This window comes from Homo sapiens, chromosome 3 (assembly GCF_000001405.40).
Source record: "Homo sapiens chromosome 3, GRCh38.p14 Primary Assembly".
NCBI lineage: Eukaryota > Metazoa > Chordata > Mammalia > Primates > Hominidae > Homo > Homo sapiens.
The window spans coordinates 194621972-194647900 of record NC_000003.12 but is presented as its reverse complement, the minus strand read 5'-3'; the positions used below and the strand labels follow the sequence as shown (position 1 = coordinate 194647900).

The 25929-nt window shown below is 49.5% G+C and overlaps 2 protein-coding genes and 1 long non-coding RNA gene across 6 annotated transcripts in view, besides 3 other annotated features; 2 read left to right on the top strand and 1 right to left on the bottom strand.

Annotated features, from left to right (window-relative positions):
- The window catches only part of LSG1 (large 60S subunit nuclear export GTPase 1), a 31401-nt gene extending 24291 nt beyond the window's left edge, over positions 1-7110 (top strand). The window contains exons 12-14 of the mRNA NM_018385.3: positions 1658-1737; positions 3155-3328; positions 5654-7110. Coding sequence (NP_060855.2) covers positions 1658-1737; positions 3155-3328; positions 5654-5833 — 434 coding nt within the window. The 3' untranslated portion in view covers positions 5834-7110. The remainder of the gene's footprint in view (positions 1-1657; positions 1738-3154; positions 3329-5653) is intronic.
- Positions 472-14973, bottom strand: TMEM44-AS2 (TMEM44 antisense RNA 2). The gene is made up of 2 exons (NR_186047.1): positions 14734-14973; positions 472-3226 (listed from the first exon to the last, which is right to left on the bottom strand). It is a non-coding gene; the product is annotated as a TMEM44 antisense RNA 2 (long non-coding RNA).
- Positions 11232-11733: an enhancer, noted in NCBI's record as "H3K4me1 hESC enhancer chr3:194356897-194357398 (GRCh37/hg19 assembly coordinates)". NCBI's record gives its function as "activates a minimal SCP1, AML or CMV promoter by ChIP-STARR-seq in naive H9 embryonic stem cells {active_cell/tissue: H9 hESC(naive)}" and the evidence as "EXISTENCE:reporter gene assay evidence [ECO:0000049][PMID:30033119]".
- Positions 14284-14713: a silencer, noted in NCBI's record as "silent region_15026". NCBI's record gives its function as "represses an Ori minimal core promoter by ATAC-STARR-seq in GM12878 lymphoblastoid cells {active_cell/tissue: GM12878}" and the evidence as "EXISTENCE:reporter gene assay evidence [ECO:0000049][PMID:35858748]".
- Positions 14482-25929, top strand: part of TMEM44 (transmembrane protein 44) — a 45742-nt gene continuing 34294 nt past the window's right edge. For all 4 annotated transcript variants that reach the window (NM_001166306.2, NM_001011655.3, NM_138399.5 and 1 more), the window contains exons 1-5: positions 14482-14822; positions 19392-19518; positions 21911-22004; positions 24206-24372; positions 24591-24677. In NM_001166306.2, the coding sequence (NP_001159778.1) occupies positions 14686-14822; positions 19392-19518; positions 21911-22004; positions 24206-24372; positions 24591-24677 (612 nt within the window). In that variant the 5' untranslated portion in view covers positions 14482-14685. The remainder of the gene's footprint in view (positions 14823-19391; positions 19519-21910; positions 22005-24205; positions 24373-24590; positions 24678-25929) is intronic.
- Positions 24709-25252: an enhancer, noted in NCBI's record as "H3K27ac-H3K4me1 hESC enhancer chr3:194343378-194343921 (GRCh37/hg19 assembly coordinates)". NCBI's record gives its function as "activates a minimal SCP1, AML or CMV promoter by ChIP-STARR-seq in naive H9 embryonic stem cells {active_cell/tissue: H9 hESC(naive)}" and the evidence as "EXISTENCE:reporter gene assay evidence [ECO:0000049][PMID:30033119]".

Here is a 25929-nt window from a genome sequence, read left to right as displayed (position 1 = left end):
ACACTTGTGGTAAGACTATTCTAATTACAGATTCATAGAACAAGAAAAGACCTTAAAGATCACCTCACCTCCTAGCCCCTGCTTTTAAGAGTAATCATCCGAACTCAGAGCCTGAGCTGACCCAAGGTGAGGTGGCTGGTCAGTGGAATAGCCTGGGTGAGATCTCCCTGCAGGATGTTAGCCTGCAAAATGCAGAAAGGTGGACTTCCACCAAACTTCCAGTTTGATTGTACTTCCGATACAACTGAAAATAATGTGAGTCTTTTAAGATGTTTCATCTAATGCTGCCTGATAAAATCAGAGTAAGGAAAAAGCCAGTTTGTAAAAGCAAATGACCACACGTACAATTTCTAAGTTCACTATCTGCAAGTCCATATAGAAGAAAATCTCTGACAGTAAATTTTCAAAGATATTGCCAGATTACTCTCATTTTACTTTGTATTTCTTTAAATACTAGTGAAGTTGAGCATCTTTCCAAATGTTTTGTGACCATTTATTTTTCTTCTGGGAATCACATTTTCCTATACATGGTTCTGTCTTAATGATTTGTAAAAGTTCTTTGTTATATGTGCTACACATTTTTTCCAATGTTAATTTATGGTTTCTTTGGCCCCAAAGAAGTTGACAATTTTAATAGACTATATTTTTCCTTTTTGGTTTGACTGGGTTTGGTGTTTTACTTGGGAAGGTCTTCTCCCTCCCAAAAAGATAAAACTATCTTCCTGTAATATTTACTTACTTTTTTAACATTTAGATTTTTAATCTGACGAAATTTATTGTTGTATATTGTGTAAATTAGGATTCTAACTATTTTCTTCGAAACTGGAAAAGCCAGTCGACAGCTAGTATGTGAGGGAACTGAGTTTTGAACGCAGCCTGTCTGCTGAAGCCGTGTTCTTAACCACCATGCTTCGCTGCTTTTCTAATTGAGTTAGTATTAAAGGGATCTTACTGGGGAAAAAAATGTAGGTACATCATTCAGTAAGAAAACTTCTCTGTTGCTTTCTGTTTTGCAAGTAGTATTGATAGCGTAGCATTCTCCTACAGGTAGCCTCCATGAATAAATGTTTAAAATAAGGAGGCTGGGTGTAGTGCCTCACGCTTGTAATCCCAGCACTTTGGGAGGCCGAAGTGGGTGGATCACCTGAGGTCAGGAGTTCAAGACCAGCCTGAACAACGTGGTGAAACCCCATCTCTACTAAAAATACAAAAAGTAGCCAGGCGTGGTGGCATGCGCCTGTAATCCCAGGTACTTGGGAGGCTGAGGCATCAGAATTGCTTGAACCTGGGAGGTGGAGGTTGCAGTGAGCCAAGATTGTGCCTCTGCACTCCAGCCTGGGCAACAGAACGAGACTCCATCTCAACAAAAAATAAAATAAAAATAAAATAAAGAGAAGAAATAACTGGAGTAGAGAGAAATCGAATTTGTCTTTCATAGCGTGGTGCTAGGTGGCATTTTTAGGATATCAGATATAAGTAAATATTCTCCTGGATTATCTAGTGTTTTTAATGCTAAACAATATATATTCTACAATGATACCTAATTTTTTAAAATCCAAGAGTAAGAATGCTTAGTAATAGAAGCTACATCACCTCAGTTGTCTTTGTTGTGATATTCTGTCATCTAAGATTTTGCAAAATTCTTTTCTCTCCACAGACATGCGAGGATTCATGACAGCGCATGGACAGCCAGACCAGCCTCGATCTGCGCGCTACATCCTGAAGGACTATGTCAGTGTAAGTGAACCCTGCCTCTCATGCTCTCCAATACACAAGTCTTTTCCACATTCTGCGTTCTTAGATAATGGTAACCTGTTCGATTATAAAGGAAATATTTTTTCATTGAAACTGGAGTTGTGTTCTTGATGTAGGGTAGTTAACATTATATGGATTATAGACATTACAAAAGATGGAGATCTCTGAACACCTATTATGAGTGAAAATCACCAATATATGCATCTGGCTTTTTTTGTCTCCTACAGCCCTTTGCTTGTTATGATTGCAACTATTGTCACAGTCTTCTTTGTAGTATAGCTGTTTATATGCCTATCTCTATATTTGCCTAGTAACGATAACAGCTAACATTTCTTGAAAGCTAACCCTGCTAGAAATAGTTCTGTTTTACGTGCGTCTTCTCAGTACAAATATGTAACAAGTCTGTGAGATTACTATTTCTCCTTTTCAAATGAGAACATGCTATTTGGGGGTTTCCCCATAGTAAAATGGAGATGAACAGGGCCTATCTCATGAGATTATTATGGGAAATAAATGAAAACTCTGTGTGTGTGTGTGTGTGTGTGTGTGTGTGTGTGTGTGTGTGTGTGTCTGTCTGTGTGTGTGTGTGTGTGTGTGTGTGTGTGTGTGTCTGTCTGTGTGTGTGTGTGTGTGTGTGTGTGTGTGTGTGTAGCACTAAGCTCAATGCCTGGCACATAATGAGCCCCCAGTAATTGTTATCTATTAAGTTTCTTTCCACAAATAAGCATTACAGGGCCCTGTTAATAACCAGTTGTGAGGATTTGGCTTTATTTCCTCCTCTTCTCAAGACCACATCGGTGGAGCTCTTGGAGCTCAGTGGCAACCATATGGGCTTGCCTTCAGTTCAGGAAGAAAGCAGTTCATGCTATTGGTATGGATAAGTCATGTATTCGTTTACCACTTACTGTGGAGGATGTAAAGATGAGGTAAAAATAGTCACAGCCTTCAGATCATTTATGATGGAAAGAGGCAGACTTGCACCCAGTGAGCAACTGCAACCCCACATACAGGAGTCGAGGAACTCTCCTGACTTTAACAGTCTAACCCGGCATTACCGTAACTGTCCAGTTATGTCTTGAGTTTTGTTTTGGAAAATATTCACCATAAGTATGATCATGTCCGTATACTGAAGAATACTTGAGTGGGAATGCAAACGAGAAAAGAAGAAAGAGATTTCATCCTAGTCTGGGGCGCCATGGGAAGAGCTAGGTCTCTAGAACACTTTGACCATTGATGTATTAGAAAAAGGACTCTTCAGCTGCAGTAGACCAAAACTCAACTCAGCTAACTTAACCAGAAGGCAGAAAGCTCCATCAGAGTGTGACTGGGTGGAGCTGTCTCCTCTGAGGCCACAGATGGCACTTAGGCTGCACTGTTGTCATTCATGTTGTCTTTGTAGGGTAAGCTGCTGTACTGCCATCCTCCTCCTGGAAGAGATCCTGTAACTTTTCAGCATCAACACCAGCGACTCCTAGAGAACAAAATGAACAGTGATGAAATAAAAATGCAGCTAGGCAGAAATAAAAAAGCAAAGCAGATTGAAAATATCGTTGACAAAACTTTTTTCCATCAAGTAAGTTTTAAAGCTTTTCTTAAACTTCTGATCCAACACTCTTTTTATAACAGCTTTATTGAGTATCACATGCCATAAACACATTTTATTAACCCCAAAAAGGGTTTAATAATTCCAAAAAGGGTTTAATAATTCCCAAAAGAAACCTTATTTATTTATTTATTTATTTATTTATTTATTTATTTATTTTTATTTTTTTTTTTTGAGACGGAGTCTCGCTCTGTCGCCCAGGCCGGACTGCGGACTGCAGTGGCGCAATCTTGGCTCACTGCAAGCTCCGCTTCCCGGGTTCACGCCATTCTCCTGCCTCAGCCTCCCGAGTAGCTGGGACTACAGGCGCCCGCCACCACGCCCGGCTAATTTTCTGTATTTTTAGTAGAGACGGGGTTTCACCTTGTTAGCCAGGATGGTCTCGATCTCCTGACCTCATGATCCACCCTCCTCGGCCTCCCAAAGTGCTGGGATTACAGGCGTGAGCCACCGCGCCCGGCCGAAACCTTATTTATTAGCAGTTACTGCCTGTCCCCTTTTTTCCCCCAGCCCCTGCCAACCAATAATCAATCTTTATGAACAGATTTGCCTGTTCTGGAGACTTCACGTGACTGGAATCATACTGTGTGCTCTTCGTGACAGGCTTCTTTCATTTAGCGTGGTATCTTAAACATTCATCCATGTTGTAGCCTGTGTCAGTATTTCAGTCCTTTTTATTACCGAATAATGTTTCATTGTATAGATATGCCACATTTTGTTTATCTATTTATCATTTGAGGGACGTTTGGGTTGTTTCCACTTTTTGGCTACTATGAATAATGGTGTAATGAACACTTGTGTACAGGTTTTTGTGGAGACATGGATTTCGTCTCTCTTGAGTATATACCTCGGCGTGGGGTTGCTGGGTTGTATTGCAACTCCATGTTTAACATTTGAGGTATTGCCAAACTTTCCAAACGTGGCTGTGCTGTTTTACATTACTCCCAGTGATGTAGGAGGTTTCTAATTGTCTCCTCATCCTTGTCAATGTTTATTATTTCCCATTTTTTTTTTATTTTAGCCATCCTAATACATGTGACGTATTGCATTATAGTTTTGATGAGTATTTCCCTAATTACTAGTGATGCTGAGCGTCATTTTATGTGCTCGTTGGCACATGTATATTTTCTTTAGAGAAATGTCTATTATTAAGTTGTAAGAGTTCTTTATATATTCTGGATACAAGTCCCATATCAGATTTATGATTTACAAATATTTGCACCCATTTAGTCAGTTGTCTTTTCTCTGAGCCAACACATTTGGTGATAGAAAGTGCTAAAGAAACAGACTTCATAAATGTCTTCTGCACTTTAAAATATTGATAACTTCAGTTGCTTATATCACAGCTACAATTTGTAGGCAGTATTTTAAAGGTCAAATGTACATGCAAAAGAGCTAAATCACATAATTGTACCCAGTGTAGGTTAAAAATGTTTTTAAGTGACTACTATAGCGAAAATAGGACAGGGGTTAGGATGGGGTGATCAGCTATATCCAGAGAATGTTTTTGTATTTATCCCGTGCTTTATCTGCATGCCTTACACAATGAGCCTGTGAAGCAGGCCAAGCAAGTATTATTCCTTGAGGACACTGAGGCTCAAAGAGACTGAGTTACCCAAGGGCATGCTTTAAATTGCAAAGCTGGGATAAAACTTAGATGTTTGTAGCTCCTAGTTTGAATTATTTTCAAGTTGGTACATACCAGTATTTGGAAGAAAATTTACCAACATGCAAAAAGATTGCAAGTTTATTCTTGGGCCTACAGCTGTCATACAGAACATTTCATGTGAAATTTTAAATGTTTACAGGTTTCTAAAAGCTATGTACAAGAAAGCTGAAAACTTGTCATAATTTTAATATAATTCATATGTCTAAACTGTAACCTCTAGAGTAATATTTTACTATTATAAGTAACTTGCAAATCGTAGGGTACTAATTTTTTTTTTTACTAAGTAAACTTAAAATTTGTTTAGAGTCCATTTCTAATGTGGTTGAAACAGGTTAAGTTTTGATATTAAGACAAATTTCCAGAACACAGCTGGTATTAAGTCTAGTTGTAGATGGCATTTGAAAGTATGGGACTAAACAAAGTTGACGAGGGAATGAGGAGGGGGAAGAGATGAACTGAAGACAGAATGCTGGGGGGAGAAAGAGGACCAGTGAAGGGGAGGGGGGCGGAAGTTCACCCAGTGACTGACTCCTTTTTATCTTGAAGTGATCCACTAATAGTACTGTGCATATCCCTTAAAGGATAGCCTGCTGACAGCTCAGATAATGTTTTCTCTTATTTCCTAGGAGAATGTGAGGGCTTTGACCAAAGGAGTCCAGGCTGTGATGGGTTACAAGCCCGGGAGTGGTGTAGTGACTGCATCCACTGCGAGCTCTGAGAACGGGGCGGGGAAGCCCTGGAAAAAACATGGCAACAGAAATAAAAAAGAAAAAAGTCGTAGACTCTACAAGCACCTGGATATGTGAGGTTGGGCTGCAACAGAAATGTCATCTGCATTGTGCAGATGGAAAAGAGCAGAAGCTGCCTGTTGCCTGTGGAACCGTCCCAAGACACTAGCACTGTAGAACGGGCCCTGCTCTTGCAGAGCACGGCTGCACCCAACAGTCTCCATGTCAAGACCAAGGGCCTCCTGGAAACACCAACTCTGACAAAAAGGAGTCATCTGGGAGCCCGAGAATCCTACTCCTGGCCGGGCACAGTGGCTCACGCACCAACATGGAGAAACCCCGTCTCTACTAAAAATACAAAAAAATTAGCCAGGCGTGGTGGCGCGCACCTGTAATCCCAGCTACTCGGGAGGCTGAGGCAGGAGAATCACTTGAACCAGGGAGGCAGAGTTTGCAGTGAATGGAGATTGCGCCGCTGCACTCCAGCCTGGGCGACAGAGTGAGACTGCATCACAAGAAAAAAAATTTGCAAGGGATGGTTCACGAGACACATTTGGGACGAAGGTGAAAGAGAAATTCCCCATTCTGAGTGTCCTAGTTGGGTTCCTCCGACTCTAAACAAGGGACTTGGGTTCAGTTAGTGTACAGCGGGGGCTCACGTCCACTAAGGAACATGTAGAATGTAACCACCGGGTGACAGGGAAGCTGCGGTATTTACTACCTAGCCCCCATCTTCACTGGTTATTCCACTTATTTAAAATGTCCAGAATAAGCAAATCTCCATATAGAGGAAGTAGATTAGTGGTTGCTTCGGGATGGGAGGAATGGGAAGATTGAGGTCTTTCTTTTGCAGTGATAAAAATGTCCTAAAATTGACTGTAGCGATGGTCACACAACTCTGAATATGCTTAAGACCATTGAATTACACACTTTACGTTGGTGAATTGTATGGTATGTAAATTATAGTTCAATAACATAGTTACAAAAGATAATCAAAAGCATGAAAGCACTGTTGATGTGGTTTGGATCTGTGTCCTCACCGAGTCTCATGTTGAAATGTAAGCCCCCTGGTGGGAGGCGATGGGATTATGGGGCAGAGTCCTCACGAACGGTTTAGCACCACCCGCTCAGTGCTGTTCTCCTGATATTGAGTCCTCATCACATCTGGTTGCTTCAAAGTGTGTGGTGCCTCCCCTCTGTCTCCCTCCTGCTCTGGCCATATAAGATGTGCCTGCTTCTCCTTCGCCTTCTAACATGATTGTAAGTTTCCTGAGGCCTCCCTAGAAGCAAAAGCTGCTGTGCTTCCTGTACCATCTACAGGACCGTGAGCCAATTAAACCTCTTTTCTTTATAAATTACTGTCTCTGGTATTTCTGGTTTTCTTTTTTTTTTTTTTTTTGAGACGGAGTCTCACTCTGTCGCCCCGGCTGGAGTGCAGTGGCATGATCTCGGCTCACTGGAACCTCCCTCTCCCGGATTCAAGCAACGTGCCCTCCCAGAAGAGAAAGCTGTTGAGCTGCTGGCCTGTCTCCGCCAGGCGGCTGGGATTTATGGTCACCATTGGCTGCCCACTCCCGTAGGGCCGCCCAGGCCGCTGCAGCCTTTCCTTCAGAAGGACGGTGCCTGAGGTCCTGCCACCTCTGCCAACAGGAAATGCCTTTGAGCAGTCACATCACTGCCCACTGTCCAGGAGGACAAGTGCTGCGGTCCTCTTGTTAGTTTTTCTTTTTGGCTAACTCTGAACCATGGCCAAAAACATTATCTTTAGCTCCTGGGCAGCTGCTGGACCTCTGAGGAGCCTGGTTAAGGAACTGATTCATTTCCTGAGGGCCGACCACGTGCAGAGCCCTGTGGAAAGTACAGGGAGAACCTGGGCAGGGTTCTAATGACCCAGAGGGAGCTAGTTAGAAGATACCGTCCAAAGTGTTCACGGCAGGATGAAGTCCCGACTCCCTCGCTACCGAACGCTGACCGTCTCGCCTCCCCTCCTGCAGGTGCTGCCCTCCCTCTGCTATTTGCCTTTCTCCCTATACCATCTCTTGCCGCCTCCAAGGGCCTCTGCAGAGCTGCTGCCATGGCCTTGTTGCCAAAAGCAAACATTCTCCAAGGCCCAGCTTATGCATTATTTCTTGGAAACCTTCCCCCACACACCCCCGCCCACAATGCGGGGTGTCGTCAATGTACTTTAAAGATGCCCCTGCTGTAGTACATGTTGTATTTTTATGGCTTGTTTAAAAATCAGCATATCCGGCCAGGCATGGTGGCTCACGCCTGTAATCCCAGCACTTTGGGAGGCTGAGGCGGGTGGATCACTTGAGGTCAGGAGTTTAAGACTAGCCTGGCCAACATGGTGAAACCCCGTCTCTACTAAAAATACCAAAATTAGCCGGGCATGGTGTTACGCACCTGTAATCCCAGGAGGCAGAGGTTGCAGTGAGCCAAGATCACACCCCTGCACTCCAGCCTGGGCAACAGACAGAACAAGACAGTCTCAAAAAAAAAAAAAATCAAAAAATCAGTGCATTCATTCAGTAAATATTTTCCTTATTATGTGCCAGGCACTGAGCTAGAAGCTGAGGATGCAAGTGTAAACTAAACAACCCTGGCTGCAAGAAGCTCACAGCCTGGTAGAAAGACGGCACTCTTCACCCTTTAGAGGTGTCTTTGTAATAGAGTGGCGCAGGCACTGGGGCTTGGGCCCCCAGGACCAGGACGGCAAGTCAGCTGAAGCAAGGATGATTGCGGTGGAAGAGCCCTGTGAGGGAGAGCCAGGAGTTTGGCTTTAGACGTGTGCATTAGGCATGCAGGGGAGACGTCAAGTTATCAAGTAGGCAGCTGCGTATGTGAGTCTAAAGTTTGAGAAGGAGGGACCTGGAGCTGCGCATTCGGGAGGTGCAGGTACAGGGACAGTAGTTAAAGCCAGAGACCCAATGAGATCCCCAACAGAGGATAGGTAGGGATGAGAACCAAGAACTGAGCTGCATGTCTCCCCCCCATTAGCTGACCTTCCTCCTTTTACAGAAAGGAACACACAAGTGCAGAGAGGACCAGTGTTTTGCCCCAAGTCACAGCACAGCTGCTGCAATGCGGAGGGAAAATTCCAGTGTAAGATCAGCAGGCTCCAGAGCCCACACTCTTCCCATTGCTTCTGTTTTGTTTGTTTGTTTGCTTGTTTTTTGAGACAAGAGTCCTGTTTTGTCGCCCAAGCTGGAGTGCAGTGGCGTGATCTCTGCTCACTGTAACCTCCGCCTCCTGGGCTCAAGTGATCTGCCTCAGCCTCCCAAGTAGCTGGATTACAGGCACCCACCACTATGCCTGGCTATTTTTTGTATTTTTAGTAGAGACAGGGTTTCACCATGTTGGCCAGGCTGGTCTCGAACTCCTGATCTCAAATGATCCACCCGCCTCGGCCTCCCAAAATGCTAGGATTACAGGTGTGAGCCATCGCACCCAGCCTCCCATTGCTTCTTTACGTGAGCCAGCTTGTCCAGTGACTGGGAGCAGCTCCCCGACTGAGGGCCATCTCCAAAACCCATAGTTTCTTGTAAGAATTGTCATGAAGCTTGTGGAGATGCAGTGTAGGAGGCTGAACAATGGTTCCTGAATATATCAGGCCCTAATCCCTGGAAACTGCAAATGTTACCTTATATGGAAAAAGGGTCTTGGTGGTTGTGATTAAATTTTTTTTTTTTTTTTTGGTCTTGAGATGGAGTCTCTGTCACCAGGCTGGAGTGCAGTGGCACGAGCTTGGCTCATTGCAACCTCTGCCTCCCAGGTTCAAGCAATTCTCCTGCCTCAGTAGCTGTAATCCCTCCCGAGTAGCTGGGATTACAGGCACGCACCACCACGCCCAGCTAATTTTTGCATTTTTAGTAGAGACGGGGTTTCACCTTGTTGGCCAGGATGGTCTCGATCTCTTAACCTTGTGATCCGCCCACCCTGGCCTCCCAAAGTGCTGGGATTACAGGGGTGAGCCGCCATGCCCAGCCAGTTGTGATTAAATTAAGGATGGGGAGATTATCGCAGATTATCTGAGTAGACCACGAATGTAATCACAAGTGTCTAAGAGAGAGGCAGAGGGAGACATGACACACACGGAGGAAAAGGCAATGTGATCACGAAAGGCAGAGATGGATCGACCTGGGTGACGCCATTAAGGGAAGGAATGCTGGCAGCCACCAGAAGCTGGAAGAGGCAAGGGAATGATAGATTCTCCCCCTATAGCCCCCAGAATGGGTACAGCCCTGCTGACACCCTGGCTTTGGCCTAGTGAAACTGATTTCTAACTTCTGGCCTCCGGAACTGTGAGGGAATCCACTGAAGTTGTGCTGATTTGTTACAGCGGCCACCGGAAATGAATCCATGCCGAGTCCAAGGACACGTGCCCAGGAGCTGGATTTAGTATGTCTATGTTCTTGATAGGCAGAGTGGCTGTGATACCAGCGATCTATGGACCACGCTGCCCCAACTGCTCAGGCAGGGGACTCGAAGCAAAGGACTCAAACCCTTGAACGGGGGTTTGTAGTCTGGGCTCCATGGAATCCATAGTTGAATTTCAGTGGGTAGGGGCTGGTTCATAATTTTTTTTAAATTGTATGAGGAACTATGTGTGGTGTGCACATATATTCATATTTTTCAAGGATGAGGTGTTTTTGTTTTTGTTTTTTCAGATTCTCAAACGGGTCACAAAAAAAGGTTAAGAACTAACCACTAATCTAAGAACAAACTGCTGAGGTGTGTAAGCCCAGCCCAGAGTAGGTGGGGAGGAGTGAAGCACCTTCTAAATCAGGCCCAGCTCTGAGGGTTCATGCTGAGCCGTTCTCCAAGTCTCTACAAAACTCACAGCACAGGGAGCTCTGCCCCAGGGCCTGGTGGGAGGATGACACAAGACTGGGTGGGGCACTTCCCTGCTTTAGCAGGAGAGTGAGCAGCAGGTGGGCAATGTCCCCAGGAGAGCTAGGATCCAGGCAATCACAGGTTAGTATCTGAGGAAGGTAAAGGCAGAGATGACCCCTGATAAGCACACAGGACACACCAGAAGTTCCAGGAACACACGGCAGGAATTTCAGACGGGGTCCTTCAACAGTGTGGGCAGTGGCTCAGCTAGAAAGACCCTGTGGGTACTTAGTATTTATAGACTATGAGAAACTTGGTTATGTATTTTTTTTCTTTTAACACTTCACTCATTCCTCCATTCATTTTATAACACTTCATCTTAATTGTTTTATTATTTTAATTTTGGCCCTTTTTGGTAAAAACCATTTTAATTGTATCTTTTTGTTCAGTTGCTTGCTTAATTTCTTTTTTTTGAGACACGGTCTTGCTCTGTTGCCCAGGCTGGAGTGCAGTGGTGCAGTCTCAACTCACTGCAACCTTCGCCTCCAGGGCTCAAGTGATCCTCCCATCTCAGCCTCCCAAGTAGCTGGGACTACAGATGCATGCAACCACGCCAGGCTAATTTTTTGTAGTTTTTGTTGACATGGGGTTTCACCATGTTACTTAGGCTGACCTCGAACTCCAGAGCTCAAGTGATCCACTTGCCTCACCCCCCGAATTGCTGGGATTACAGGCGTGAGCCACAGTGCCCCGCCAGTTGCTTGCTTAATTTCTGTCTCTCCTACTGGACTGTAAGCTCCAAGTAAGTAGGACCCATGTCTGTTTTACTCAATAGTGTGTTCCCAGCTCCTAACGCAATGCCTGTCTTAGTCTATTTGAGCTACTATAACAAAATGCTTTGGACTGAGTGGCGTGTAAATAACACAGATTTGTTTTTCACAGTTGTGGAAGCTAGGAAGTCCGAGATCAAGGTGCCTGCAGATTTAGTTGAAGGGCCTGCTTTCTGGTTCCTAAAGGCGCCACCTAATATAGTTTGGTGCAAAAGTAATTGCGGTTTTGGCCATTAAATGTAAGCCACTTTTAATGGCCAAAAAAAGTGGCTTACTCTTAATGGCCAAAACCGCAATTACTTTTGCACCAAAGCTTACTTTTAATGGCCAAAACTGCAATTACTTTTGTACCAAAGTACTTTTATCTGGCTTTTTTTGTTTTGTTTTGTTTTGTTTGTTTGTTTGAGACAGAGTCTTGCTCTGTTGCCCAGGCTGGAGTGCAGTGGCGTGATCTCGGCTCACTGCAACCTCTGCCTCCCAGGTTCAAGAGATTCTCCTGCCTCCGCCTCCCAAGTAGCTGGGATTACAGGTGCCTGCCACCACACCCAGCTAATTTTTGTATTTTTAGTAGAGACAGGGTTTCACCATGTTGGCCAGGCTGGTCCGGAACTCCTGACCTCAAGTGATCCACCCGCCTCAGCCTCCCAAAGTGCTGTGATTACAGGCGTGAGCTACCGCTTCCAGTACTTTTAATAGCCAAAACCACAATTACTTTTGCACCAATCTAATACCATCAAATTAGTGATTAGATTTCATTTCTCCTGAGAGGTTATAACTTTGTTTTGTTTTGAGAGACCGGGGTCTCCCTATGTTGTCTAGGCTGGTCTCCAACTCCTGGGCTCCACTGATCCTCCCACCTTGGCCTCCCAGAGTGCTGGGATTACAGGCATGAGCCACCTTACCAAGCCAAATCATAACTTTGAAAACACAGTGAACCACTAAAATAGTGTAGCCACTTTGGAAAATAGTCTGGCAATTCCTCAAAACATTAAACACAGTTACCACAGATCCCAGCAAGGACACTCCTAGGTATATACCCAAGAGAGCATGAAACCTGTGTCCACACAAAAACTTGTGCACAAATGTTCAGAGCAGCATTATTCATAATAGCCCAAAGGTGAAAGCAATCCAAACATCCCACTAATGAGTGGATAAACGAAATGTGGTATAAAAATACCCATACCATGTATTATGATGAGCCATAAACAGGAATGAAGTACTGATAACACGCAGCAACATGAATGAACCTTGAAAACATGCTAAGTGAAAGTCACAGAAAGGTCATATAGTGGATGATTCCATTGATGTGGAATGTCCAAAATGGGCAAATCCATAGAGACAGAAGGTAGATTTGCGATTCCTGGGCTGCGAGTGTTGAGGGGAGTGGACAGTAACTGCCAGTGGGCCGGGTTCTTTTCAGATGGGGGTGATGAAAATGTTCTAAAAGTAGACAGTGATGTTGGTTGCACAACGCTATGGATACACTAAAAACTGCTGAATTGTACATTTTATTTTTTGTTTTGTTTTGAGATGGAGTCTTGCTCTGTCGCCCAGGCTGGAGTGCAGTGGCGCCATCTCAGCTCACAGCAATCTCCGCCTCCCAGGTTCAAGCAGTTCTCCTGCCTCAGTCTCCCGAGTAGCTGGGATTACAGGCGCCTGCCATCATGCCTGGCTAATTTTTGTGTTTTTAGTAGAGATGGGGTTTCACCATGTTGGCCAGGGTGGTCTCAAACTCCTGACCTCAAGTGATCCACCTGCCTCGGCCTCCCAAAGTGCTGGGATTACAGGCGCGCACCACCATGCCCGGCTAATTTTTGTATTTTTAGTAGAGACAGTGTTTCACCATGTTGGCCAGGCCGGTCTTGAGCTCCTGACCTCAAGTGATCCGCCTGCCTCAGCCTCCCAAAGTGCAGGGACTACAGTTGTGAGCCACCGTGCCTGGCCAGAATTGTACATTTTAAAAGTACTATGTAGGCTGGATGTGGTGGCTCACACCTGTAATCCCAGCACTTTAAGAGGCTGAGGAGGGCAGATCACGAGGTCAGGAGTTTAAGACCAGCCTGGCCAACATGGTGAAACACCGTCTCTACTAAAAATACAAAAATTACTCGGGTGTGGTGGCGGGCACCTGTAGTCCCAGCTACTTGGGAGGCGGAGGCAGGAGAATTGCTTGAACCTGGGAGGCGGAGGCTGCAGGGAGCTGAGATCGCACCATTGCATTCCAGCCTGGGCAACAGAGTGAGACTCTGTCTCAAAAAAAAAAAAAAAAAAAAAGACTATGCTTATGGCATATAAATAATATCTAAATAAAGCTGTAGTTTTTGAAAATTAAAAAAGATTTTTTTTCTTTTTTTCAATCCTGCTCCTTCTATAGAAATATTGTTTTCAAGTCATGTCTTGCTTTAAACAAACCTACTAAAATCAATAAGGAGATTTAAAAATTACAATAATAGTTTACTCTCAAGAAAAACAGCCCTGTGTACTTGAACTGTGCGGTGTGTGGCTGGACAGGAGGCGGCCGGTTGCAGAGATAACCAGCTCTTGGCTGCGGGGCCGTGGGCTAGGATGACATCCAGGAGCAGGGCTTGGGCGACTGCCTGGGGGCGGAGGGTGCCGTTGGCAGCTTCAGAAAGGAGAGTGAGAGGCAGATGTGGGGGTATTTGTTCTCCGGCACGTTTGTTTCCTCCTTCCTGGTCTTGCACCCCACCCTTTTTACTGCGCCCTGTCGGCGATCAGGACCACGCCCCCTTCACCTCGGGATCCCAGCACCCATGCGCTTCAGCAGCGCAACTAATTGCTGTTGGCTCAGGAAATGTGGACAATACGCAGGAAGGGACGCCGTGCCTTACAGCGACCGGCAGGGACTCGGCCGTCCGCGAGCCCAGCCGCCCGCCCCGCTCCGGCCAGGATGTTGGAGGTGGGTGACCGCGAAGAGGTCGGCGGGGGGCGGGGGCCGCAGTCTTTGTGCGCGCGCAGCTCCCGGCTCCCGCCGCTGGGGGGCGGCCTCCGCCCTGCCGACCCCCGACAATAGCGCGAGGGGTGGGGAGCGCGCGGTCCCGGAAACTTTTCCCCGGCGCCTTCGCCGCCGCCGCCCGCGCCCGGGAGCGCGCCCTTCTCTGCCCGCGGTCGGTGCGCTCGGCCGGAGGCGCCGCGGCGGAACGGAACCCAGAGAAGGGCACGCGGGGCGGCGGCGCTCGGGGCTTGCCCGCGGCGAGGGAGGCTGCGCCCAGGTCCCCGGCCCCGCGCCGCGCGCCCAGCCGCGCCATGGGGGAGGCGCCCAGCCCCGCGCCCGCGCTCTGGGACTGGGACTACCTGGACCGCTGCTTCGCCCGCCACCGCGTCTGCATCTCCTTCGGCCTGTGGATCTGCGCCTCCTCCTGCTGGATCGCCGCCCACGCGCTGTAATGGGGCCACGGGTCGGGGGGCTGTCGGGCGGGGAAACGGGCGCCAATCCCCTGCTGCTCCCTCTCGGAAACCTAGAGGAGGGGGCGGAAAGGGGGATGAAGGAGATGGCTCAGTAATAGGATCCAATGGAACATTGCTCTGTAGACTGAAGTGGGATCTTCTTTCCGGATCCCACGCACAGGGAAGCTGGGCTGTGAGCCAAAGGGAGGAGGCTGGGTGGTGCAGCGGATGGGGCCCCGAGGACACCGCGAGCCCTGGGTGCTATTGTCAGCCCTTCGCCATTGACTCGCAGTGTGACCTGGGCAAGCTCCAGAACCTCTCTGGGCCTCCTATGACCGGAGATAATACCTCATAGGATGATGGGAGGATTCGATGAATCAGTACCGTTAAAGCACTTAGTAAATGCTCATTAAACATCATTTGTATTGCTCCAGCTAGGCCACCAACTCTTAGGACCTTGGCAAGTCCCTTGATGTTTCTGGCCTCAGTTTACCCAAAGTCCTCTTAGGTGGGAAGGGAGGTAGTGATATGATCCAGCTGGCCTGTCTTTGCCCTGGTCTGTCCAGCACCTGGACTGGTTTGTCCAGATGCCCACGGTAGCCTAAGTTCTAAGAGTGAATCTCCAGGTCCTCAGCCGCTCTGTCCTAGGCATGGAAATCCACTAGCAGTGCTCAGGATGGTGCCGCCCAAGCATTCCCTGGCAGGGGAGAAAGGACCAGCACCCCTGGGAGAGGTTAGAACTGTCTCCCTGTAGGCACTCAGTGGATATTCTCCTAAGGCGTTTGGTCGTATTGCAGAGATTCTGCAGCCCCACTACCCAGTACTGCAATACAAATAAAAAGACGCCTAGAACATTTACTGTAGGCCCAGTGTTGCATTCATTAACTCATTCAATGCCTGCCACTCACAATATCAGCACCAGGAGGTAGGTGCTGTTACCCCCACTTTCTGTAGGGAACCCTGAGGTTCTGAGAGGTTAAATAACTTGTCTGAGTGAAAGGAAAGAACCAAAACCCCAGATCCTATTGGAAAGGGGCAGGCTGGTAAGAGAGATTAAACTGTTCAGATCAGAGGCTGGAAACTAACAAGGCGCTGGACACGCATTATCCTTTTGTTCCTCACAGTTGTCCTCAGACCAGCACTGTTAGGCACTTTGCCAACCTTGGAGGGGTTAAGAGTGAGCCTCTGCTTCTCACCCTGCCTGGGATCTGGACATACCCATTTGTTTTCAGGGCCTTGCCATCCCTGAACCTCCCCTGCTCCCCTTTCTCTTAGAAGAATGTGTCTTCGGAGTGGTGTGTGGGCTGGGTTAAGGTCAGCTGGCACCCTGGCCCCAAGAGCTGGGGAAGTGGCTGAGAACAACAGGGTACGGAGCAAAGCCCCCGCGTGTGAAGCCAGAAGACCACCATTAACTCACCTTCTCACCAGAGGCCTCAGTTTTGTCCTCTCAAATGGGAGGGTTGATATAAATTATTTCTAATTGGGGTCCGCCTCTGGGAGTCTCCAATTTAAGAATCTCCACTCCTTGGTCTTCAATTGGTTTTAGGAGCCCAGGGCCCAGACTGAAGTTGATGTTGCCACTGTGAGCTTCAGGCTTGGGCCAGCAGGTCAGGAAATGTTTAGAAAGCCAAGAGCCCTCTGTACTCATCCACCATTCCCAAGGACAGGCGCTCAGAATCAGCTAAATCGTCCTAAGGATGTGGAATGAGCACCACCCTCTGCTGAGTGGAAATGAAGCCAGCGCTGCCACCCTGTCTCGGTGTCTCCAGAGAAATGTAGCAAGGAGGCAGGTACGACAATGTATTTCAGAGGCCCTATCAGTGACGCCGATAGAAACAGCCAGCCCCTTCGGAAGGCAGGTACGACAACATATTTCAGAGGCCCTATCAGTGACGCTGAGGGAAACAGCCAGCCCCTTCGGGAGGCAGGTATGACAACGTATTTCAGAGGCCCTATCGGTGACGCCAATAGAAACAGCCAGCCCCTTCGGGAGGCACGTGCGACAACGTATTATTTCAGAGGCCCTATCAGTGATGCCGACGGAAACAGCCAGCCCCTTCGGGAGGCAGGTACAACAGCGTATTATTTCAGAGGCCCTATCAGTGATGCCGACGGAAACAGCCAGCCCCTCCAGGAGGCATGTGCGACAACGTATTTCAGAGGCCCCATCAGTGACGCTGACGGAAACAGCCAGCCCCTTCGGGAGGCAGGTACGACAGCGTATTATTTCAGAGGCCCTATCAGTGATGCCGACGGAAACAGCCAGCCCCTCCAGGAGGCACGTGCGACAACGTATTTCAGAGGCCCCATCAGTGACGCCGACGGAAACAGCCAGCCCCTTCGGGAGGCAGGTACGACAGCGTATCATTTCAGGGGCCCTATCAGTGACGCCGATGGAAACAGCCAGCCCCTTCTGGAGGCAGGTACGACAGCATACTATTTCAGGGGCCCTATCAGTGACGCCGATGGAAACAGCCAGCCCCTTCGGGAGGCAGGTACGACAGCGTATCATTTCAGGGGCCCTATCAGTGACGCCGATGGAAACAGCCAGCCCCTTCTGGAGGCAGGTACGACAGCATACTATTTCAGGGGCCCTATCAGTGACGCCGATGGAAACAGCCAGCCCCTTCGGGAGGCAGTACGACAGCGTATTATTTCAGGGGCCCTATCAGTGATGCCGACGGAAACAGCCAGCCCCTTCGGGAGGCAGGTACGACAGCGTATCATTTCAGGGGCCCTATCAGTGACGCCGATGGAAACAGCCAGCCCCTTCTGGAGGCAGGTACGACAGCATACTATTTCAGGGGCCCTATCAGTGACGCCGATGGAAACAGCCAGCCCCTTCGGGAGGCAGTACGACAGCGTATTATTTCAGGGGCCCTATCAGTGACGCCGATGGAAACAGCCAGCCCCTTCGGGAAGCAGGTACGACAGCGTATTATTTCAGGGGCCCTATCAGTGACGCCGATGGAAACAGCCAGCCCCTTCGGGAGGCAGGTACGACAGCGTATTATTTCAGGGACCCTATCAGTGACGCCGATGGAAACAGCCAGCCCCTTCTGGAGGCAGGTACGACAGCATACTATTTCAGGGGCCCTATCAGTGACGCCGATGGAAACAGCCAGCCCCTTCGGGAGGCAGTACGACAGCGTATTATTTCAGGGGCCCTATCAGTGACGCCGATGGAAACAGCCAGCCCCTTCGGGAGGCAGGTACGACAGCGTATTATTTCAGGGGCCCTATCAGTGACGCCGATGGAAACAGCCAGCCCCTCCGGGAGGCAGGTACGACAGCGTATTATTTCAGGGGCCCTATCAGTGACGCCGATGGAAACAGCCAGCCCCTCCGGGAGGCAGGTACGACAGCGTATTATTTCAGGGGCCCTGTCAGTGACGCCGATGGAAACAGCCAGCCCCTTCGGGAGGCAGGTACGACAACGTGTTTCAGAGGCCCTATCAGGGACGCCGATAGAAACAGCCAGCCCCTTCAGGAGGCATGTACGACAATGTATTTCAGAGGCCCTATCAGTGACGCCGATAGATACAGCCAGCCCCTTCGGGAGGCATGTACAACAACGTATTTCAGAGGCCCTATCAGTGACGCTGATAGAAACAGCCAGCCCCTTCCTGCCCTTCCGTGCATCTTCTCCAGTGGATATGGACTGGGGAGGGGCTGTAAGGGGAGAAGTGGCTGTGGGGGCGCTGAGGGAGGGACAGCTCCAAGTGCCAAAAGGGCTCTGTGTTTAAAGAACATGGACACAGGCCAGCAGAAGCCAGGCTGCCCCACTTCACAGATGGTTTAGAAGAATTTCGTTTGAATTTATTTCAGAGAAACAAGTTGTCTTTTTAATTCAGGCAATTAACTGTGCTCTGCAGTTATCTGCAGTGGTTGGGTTGCTTTTTTTTTTTTTTGAGACGGAGTCTCGCTTTGTCACCCAGGCTGGAGTGCAATGGTGTGATCTTGGCTCACTGCAACCTCTGCCTCCTGGGTTCAAGCAATTCTCTTGCCTCAGCCTCCGGAGTAGCTGGGATTACAGGCGCACGCCACCACACCCGGCTAATTTTTGTATTTTTAGTAGGGGCGGGGTTTCACCATGTTGGCCAGGATGGTCTCGAACTCCTGACCTCAGAGGATCCTCCTGCCTCGGCCTCCCAAACTGCTGGGATTACAGGTGTGAGCCACCATACCCAGCCTGAGTTACTTTTATAACCCTCCTGTTTCCTTTTCAAAAAATAAAACCCGATGGCTGCTTTTTCAGTGCTAGGTGGGGGGTCATCAAATGGAGCCGTCCTGATTTGGAGTCGGAAAGTAAAATTCCTCTTCCTCCAAAGAGGCGGTGTCTTCACATCTCACGAGGTCTAGCTCCTGCCATGGGCATCTGGACAGGCGGCTCTGGAGTCTTCTGATTGGTTCCCATCTGTAAACTCAGTTCAAAAACACGTCCTAAATACCTCGGGCAGAAAGAGCTCCCTGACGATGCGGGGTCACAGTTGCCCTTTTTAGATACATGCGTTTGGGTCCAAACTCACAGTTGCTGTGTTCTGTCCACACCCCTGTCACCCCAGGCTTCTCTATCTGAGATGTGCACAGAAACCCAGACAGGACCAGTCGGCACTGTGTGCTGCGTGCTGCCTCCTGACCAGTCTGTGTGACACCGTCGGGGCTCTTCTGGCCAGACAGCTCACAATCCAGGTATGTTGGGCCTCCAGCTGACAGTGGCTTAGGCCAGCACTAAGGGAGGCCTGGCCTTTCTCTCTGCTGCAGCCGTGGTGGCTTTTGTCTTGTTGCTGCAACATGCATAGCACAGTGTCACCTCAGAACCTGTGCCTGGCTGTTCCTTCTGCCCCCCTCAGAGGCTCTTGTTCCCAATATCCACTTGGCTGCCTGCTTAGTCCTTCACGTCTTTGCTCAAAAGTCACTTCTCACGGCCAGGAGCAGTGGCTCACACTGTAATCAACACTTTGGGAGGCCGAGGCAGGCCTCTAAATAGATTAGAATAAGGGAATCCAGAACACTGGTGGAAGAGGTGGGTCACCATTATAAGCAGGGGAGGTCTTATTGAGAAGGTGACTTTTTTTTTTGCTTGTTTGTTTTTTGAGACAGAGTCTTACTCTGTCGCCCAGGCTGGAATGCAATGACTTGGTCTTGGCTCACTGCAGCCTCCGTCTCCTGGGTTCAAGCAATTCTCCTGCCTCAGCCTCCCGAGTAACTGGGATTACAGGCGCACGCCACCACACTGGCTAATTTTTTGTATTTTTAATAGAGATGGGGTTTCACCATGTTGCCCAGGCTGGTCTCGAACTCCTGACCTCAGGACAATCTGCCTGCCTCAGCCTCCCAATGTGCTAGGATTACAGGCCTGAGCCACCACGCCTGACCTGTTTATTACTTCTTGTATGTGAACTCCCATTAGAGTGTCAGCTCTACAAGGGCAAGGATTTGTTCACTGCTGTATCCCCATCACTTAAAACAGCACCTGGCTCCTAGTAGGTGCCCAATACATAGTCATTTAGAGCTTTGACCCAGCCCCAGCTTATGTAGGGTGGCTGAGTCCTTTCCCAGGTAGTGGTGTAGGCTTTGGGGCAAGTGAGAAGTAGTTTCAAGTTTCTCAAAAGCGTAGGCCCTCAAACCTGTGTGGAAGGCTCCTATCCCAAAACACATATCCCCAGGAAAACCTGTTGTGCCCTCCTGCGGAGGCACCTCATGGGACTGGTCTTGGTCTTATGCCCATCCAGGTAGAAATGAAGGAAGGCAGCTCAGTTGGCAGAGCACAGATTTGGAGCATTCTAGACCCTGCTTCAAGCAGTGTTGTCTCAAAAGCAAATCACCTTTCATTTTGGGTGCCCATTCTCATTAGCTAATAGAATACAATAGGGCCAGCTGGGCACAGTGGTTCATGCCTGCAATCCCAGCACTTTGGGAGGCTAAGGCGGGCAGATTGCCTGAGGTCAGGAGATCAAGACCAGCCTGGCCAACATGGAGAAAACTAGCTGGGCGTGGTGGCGCGTGCCTGTAGTCCCAGCTACTCAGCGGGCTGAGGCAGGAGAATCACTTGAACCTGGGAGGCGGAGGTTGCAGTAAGCCGAGATCGTGCCACTGCACTCCAGCCTGGGCAACAGCAAGACTTCGTCTCAAAAAAAAAAAAATACAGTAGGTCCCAGCTCAAGTCCAATAATAATATTTATTAAAAACTACCCTGTCTCTACTAAAAATACAAAAAAAAATTAGCCGGGCGTGGTGGCAGGCGCCTGAAGTCCCAGCTGCTCGGGAGGCTGAGGCAGGAGAATGGCGTGAACCCAGGAGGTGGAGCTTGCAGTGAGCCGAGATCACGCCACTGCACTCCAGCCTGGGTGACAGAGCGAGACTCCGTCTCAAAAAAAAAAAAAAAAAAAACTTAACTACATACTTGGCACTACAGACCGTTTTGTGTTGACTCCTGGAATCCCAGCATCCTATGACATGAGTGTCCTCATTATTCCTGTTCTACAGATGTAGAGACTGAAGCATAGAGAGGTTAAGGGTCACCCATCTAGTAAGTAGCAGTGCCAAGATTCCGCGATTCAAACTCCACAATGCAAGTTCTTCACCGCTAACTCTACTATCAGAGGAGCTGGTGCCTTTAGAGGTAGTTTGCTTTCCCATAGACACTGGTGTAAACACTGCCCATGTACTGTCTCAAGTAACCTTCCTGACAGTCTTTGAGGGAAGCACTGTTAGTTTGCTCGTTTTACAGATGGGGAAACTGAGCGCCAGAGAAGCTCAGTGGGCCAAGGGTACACAGCAGAGACTGCCTCACGCAGTGGGAAGTGTGTGGAATAGAGCTGGAGGGCTGGGCTCTTATCCCAACCCTGCTGGTGGGCATCTGCATACCGTGGGTTCAGTCATGTAAACACCTCATCTCCTCATCAGCCAAGTGGACATGATAATGGACTTTTCCGGGGTTGGCAGGAGGTGTCCCTGGAGGAGTACGTAAGAAAGCACCGCATCAGTGTAACCCATGTGATACAGGGTCCCGGATGACAAACTCTGTAGGGGCTGAGGAAAGATGCTTGAATGCCAAGACTCTCTTCCCGTTTGCTCCCAGGTTTTCACTGGTGCCTACCTAGCAGCTATTGACTTAGTGAACTTTATGTTCATTCTCTTCCCAGTCTGTGGATCCAAATTCAAGTCTAATTCAGGTGAGTGTGTGGCTGTCTTTTCCTGTCTTTATTCACCCATTCATTCATCAGCACGCCGAATGCCTACTCCTTATCACTCCCAGAGCGGGCCCCAGCCAGGCACAAACAAAGGAGAAAGGCTGGGCGCGGTGGCTCACGCCTGGAATCCCAGCACTTTGGGAGGCTGAGGTGGGCAGATCATGAGGTCAGGAGATCCAGACCATCCTGGCCAACATGGTGAAACCCCTGTCTCTACTGAAAATACAAAAACTAGCCGGGTGTGGTGGCGTGCGCCTGTAATTCCAGCTACTCGGGAAGCTGAGGCAGGAGAATCGCTTGAACCCAGGAGGCGGAGGTTGCAGTGAGCTGAGATCGCACCACTGCATTCCAGCCTGGCGACAGAGCAAGAGTCCGTCTCAACAAACCTGGTGACAGAGCGAGACTCCGTCTCAAAAAAAACAAAAAACAAAAACAACCCCCCCCCCCCAAAAAAGAAGGAGAGTGTCTCATTAGGGCTGCCAGCTTGGAGGTGTGTGCACACTGTGGGCAGCCAGAGGGAGGGAAGGGCTGCTGGTGTCAAGGAAGCATGGGGCACTAGAGCTGGGGCCACAGGCAGGGCACTCCAGGCACACAGAGCAGCATGGGCAAAGGCTAGGAGGAGGTGTGGAGCAGGGCATGGGCATGAGCAGTGATAGCTTAGTGTGCAAGTTCGGGGTGGTCAAGCGAAGCTTCACAGCTACTGGAAGTGGATGCCAGGAATGGGCACAGGGCACCACCACAGGCACAGCAGGGGTCGGAAATGACTGGGCCAGGATGAGTGGCCCCGAGTGTCTGTGGTTGCGGCTTCTTGAGAAGGGTCAGCCATGTGCTTGGGCCCTTGTTCAAAAAGAGGGGATGAGGGGGCCGGGCATGGTGGCCCACACCTGTAATCCCAGCACTTTGGGAGGCTGAGGCAAGCAGATCATTTTGAGGTCAGGAGTTCGAGACCAGCCTGGCCAACATGGTGAAACCCTGTCTCTACTAAAAAAATACAAAAATTAGCTGGATGTGGTGGCATGCACCTATAATCCCAGCTATTTGGGAGGCTGAAGCAGGAGAATTGCTTAAACCCGGGAACTGGAGGTTGCAGATCGCACAACTGCACTCCAACGTGGGCAACAAGAGCAAAACTCTGTCTCAAAAAAAAAAAGGGGATGAACCAAGTGGTGTGGTGGCTCATGCCTGTAATCCCAGCACTTCGGGAGGCTGAGTTGGGAAGATTGCTTGAGGCCAAAAGTTTGAGGCCAGCCTGGGCAACATAGCAAGACCCTATCTCTACAAACATTTTAAAAAGTAGCTGGGCATGATGGTGCATGCCTGTGGTCCCAGCTGTTTGGGAGACTGAGGTGGGAGGATCACTTGAGCCCAGGAGGTGGAGGCTGCAGTGAGCTGTGATTGTGCCACTGCACTCCAGCCTGGGTGACAGCGAGACCCTGTCTCAAAAATAATAAATGAATCAGAGGGGGTGCTGCAGCAGTGTGTAGTGAAGCATGCCCTCAGCGGCTCAATGCTGCCCAGAAGAGAAATGCTCTTCTTAGAGTTTCTCAGGAGAGAGCTGGGCAGTGGCTTACACCCGGAATCCCAGCCACTCATGAGGCCAAGGTGGGAGATCGCTTGAGCCCAGGAGTTCAAGTCCAGCCTGGGCAACCTAATGAGACCTCATCTCAAAAAGAAAAAATAAACAGAATTGCTCAGAGGAGTGCCTATCTTACAGTTCAGGGACAAAGACACTGCTCATTGCTGTTTGTCCCGCGCACAGTTCCCGCTGGTGCCATCGCTGATTCACGGGTCGATGCTTGTACCACACTTGTACCGGTTCTGCTCTGTGGAGATTGTAGAAACCACCAGAGGATGGTGCCTTATCCTTAGGCGCTCTAGTCCAGAAGAGGCACTGCTGTCTGCACGCAGATGCATAGAGAGAAGATAATGTCATCTCTGCCTGAGGAAGGAGGGCAGCACGTTATGGGGGTGGGGTGTGCAGTCAGTGGTGGAGAGGAAAGACTCCTTGAAGAGGTGGCACAACTACAGGGCCCTGAAGGGTGGGGAGGAGCTGGCCTGCAGAATAATGTGGGAACCCGCTTCAGCATCATGTGGGGAGCTGACACCAGTTCTTCCCACGCAGCTATCTGATCTGACAAGGTCTGGCTTCCAGGAGCCATGTGGGATTTTGGTGTCTGTTGCAGATCGGGAAGCCCGAGAGAGGAAGAGGAGGCGGCAGCTCAGGGCCAGTGTGTTTGCCCTGGCCCTGCCGCTGAGCCTGGGCCCGTGCTGGGCTCTGTGGGTTGCTGTCCCGAAGGCTTCAGCCACCATCCGGGGGCCACAGCGGAGGCTGCTAGCGAGCCTGCTGCAGGTGAGGCTGGGCCACCGTGGGGAGGACTCGGGGTACTGCATGTCCTGCCAAATGCCCAGGGTGGGATGAGGCCGGGGCTAGGGGAGTGGGGTTAAGCCTTCCTTTGTTGGAAGAACCCTCTAAAAGCAGAAAAGGACTCCTGAGCTTTGGCTGTTTCTTGGGGCACATGGGCAGTCTCTGCAGAGTACTGATGGTGGATCACCTGTTCGTTCTTGCAGGAAAATACTGAGATCCTCGGCTACCTGCTGGGTAGCGTTGCTGCCTTTGGCTCCTGGGCTTCTCGGATCCCCCCTCTCTCCAGAATTGTGAGGCCGGGGGTGGGGATGGGACTGTGGGTCACATGACAGTCTCAGGGCATCTGGGAGCATCCTGAGAGGGTCATGGGGCGGAGGTGTGGCGTCACCGTGGGTGCATGGACATGGGCTCAGCTTTTCCTGAAGAGCGTTAGTGTGTATGACAGCAAGGAGGGGGTGTGTGTGGAGAGTGGGCAGCCAACCCAGGGCGTCCTGAGGACGGCGGGAGCCTCTCGGGGAAAGCCCGTGTGTTCTTCCCCATTTCCTATAGCAAATGAAAAGCAGGCTCTGAGGAAGAAGCCCCTGAGGCTGAACCCATAAGAGAAGGAGATTTGACACCGGACAGGCAGCCAGGTGTGAGGTTCTGTGTAGATCAAGAGTGTCTTAGGCCGGGCGCGGGGGCTCACGCCTGGAATCCCAGCACTTTGCGAGGCCGAGGCGGGGCGGGTCGCTTGAGGTCAGGAGTTGGAGACTAGCCTGACCAACACGGTGAAACCCTGTCTCTACTAAAATACAAAAATTAGCCAGGCATGGTGGTGCATGCTTGTAATCCCAGCTACTCTGGAGGCTGAGGTGGAGAATCGCTTGAACCCAGGAGGCAGAGGTTGCAGTGAGCCGAGATTGTGCCACTGCACTCCAGCCTGGGCGACAAGAGGGAAACTCCGTCTAAAAAAAAAAAAAAAAAAAAGAGTGTCTTATGGGCAGGCATTCTCCAGGCATCCACGTTGAGGGAGGCCCTGTGTCGGCCAGTGCTGGGGGGGGTAAGATGTGAGCAGGGGCGAGCGCTTGCCCTCCGGGAGCTCAGTCTCATGGAAGACACGGGAATGTGAAGCAGCATCTCCTCACGCTTCAAGAAAGATAGAAACAAATGTTTGGGGTTTCAGAAGAGAGAGAAGGCTCCTACGCTCTTCAAATGAGCAAGGGTGAAAACTGTTTACACTGCCAGACCGTGGGGTGGTGGGGAGGCGTCACGTTACCTCAGAAGGGAGCGTGAATTTGAGGACACAGGCTAGGGAAAGGCCATCGGCAGAGGAGAGCACACAGGAAAAGCCCCCACGTGCGAAAGCGCCTGAGAAACAGCAAGACACTGTGGACGTGTGACCGCTGCTCTGCCAAGTTTCCTCTGCAGACGACTCTGAGACAACTGTTCCTGTCTCACTGACAGAACAGTGGGCAAACCCAACTCCATGGCAAGTCATAGGCCCATTTAGTCTGAAAAGAATCAGCTGGGTGCGGTGGCTCATGCCTGTAATGCCAGCACTTT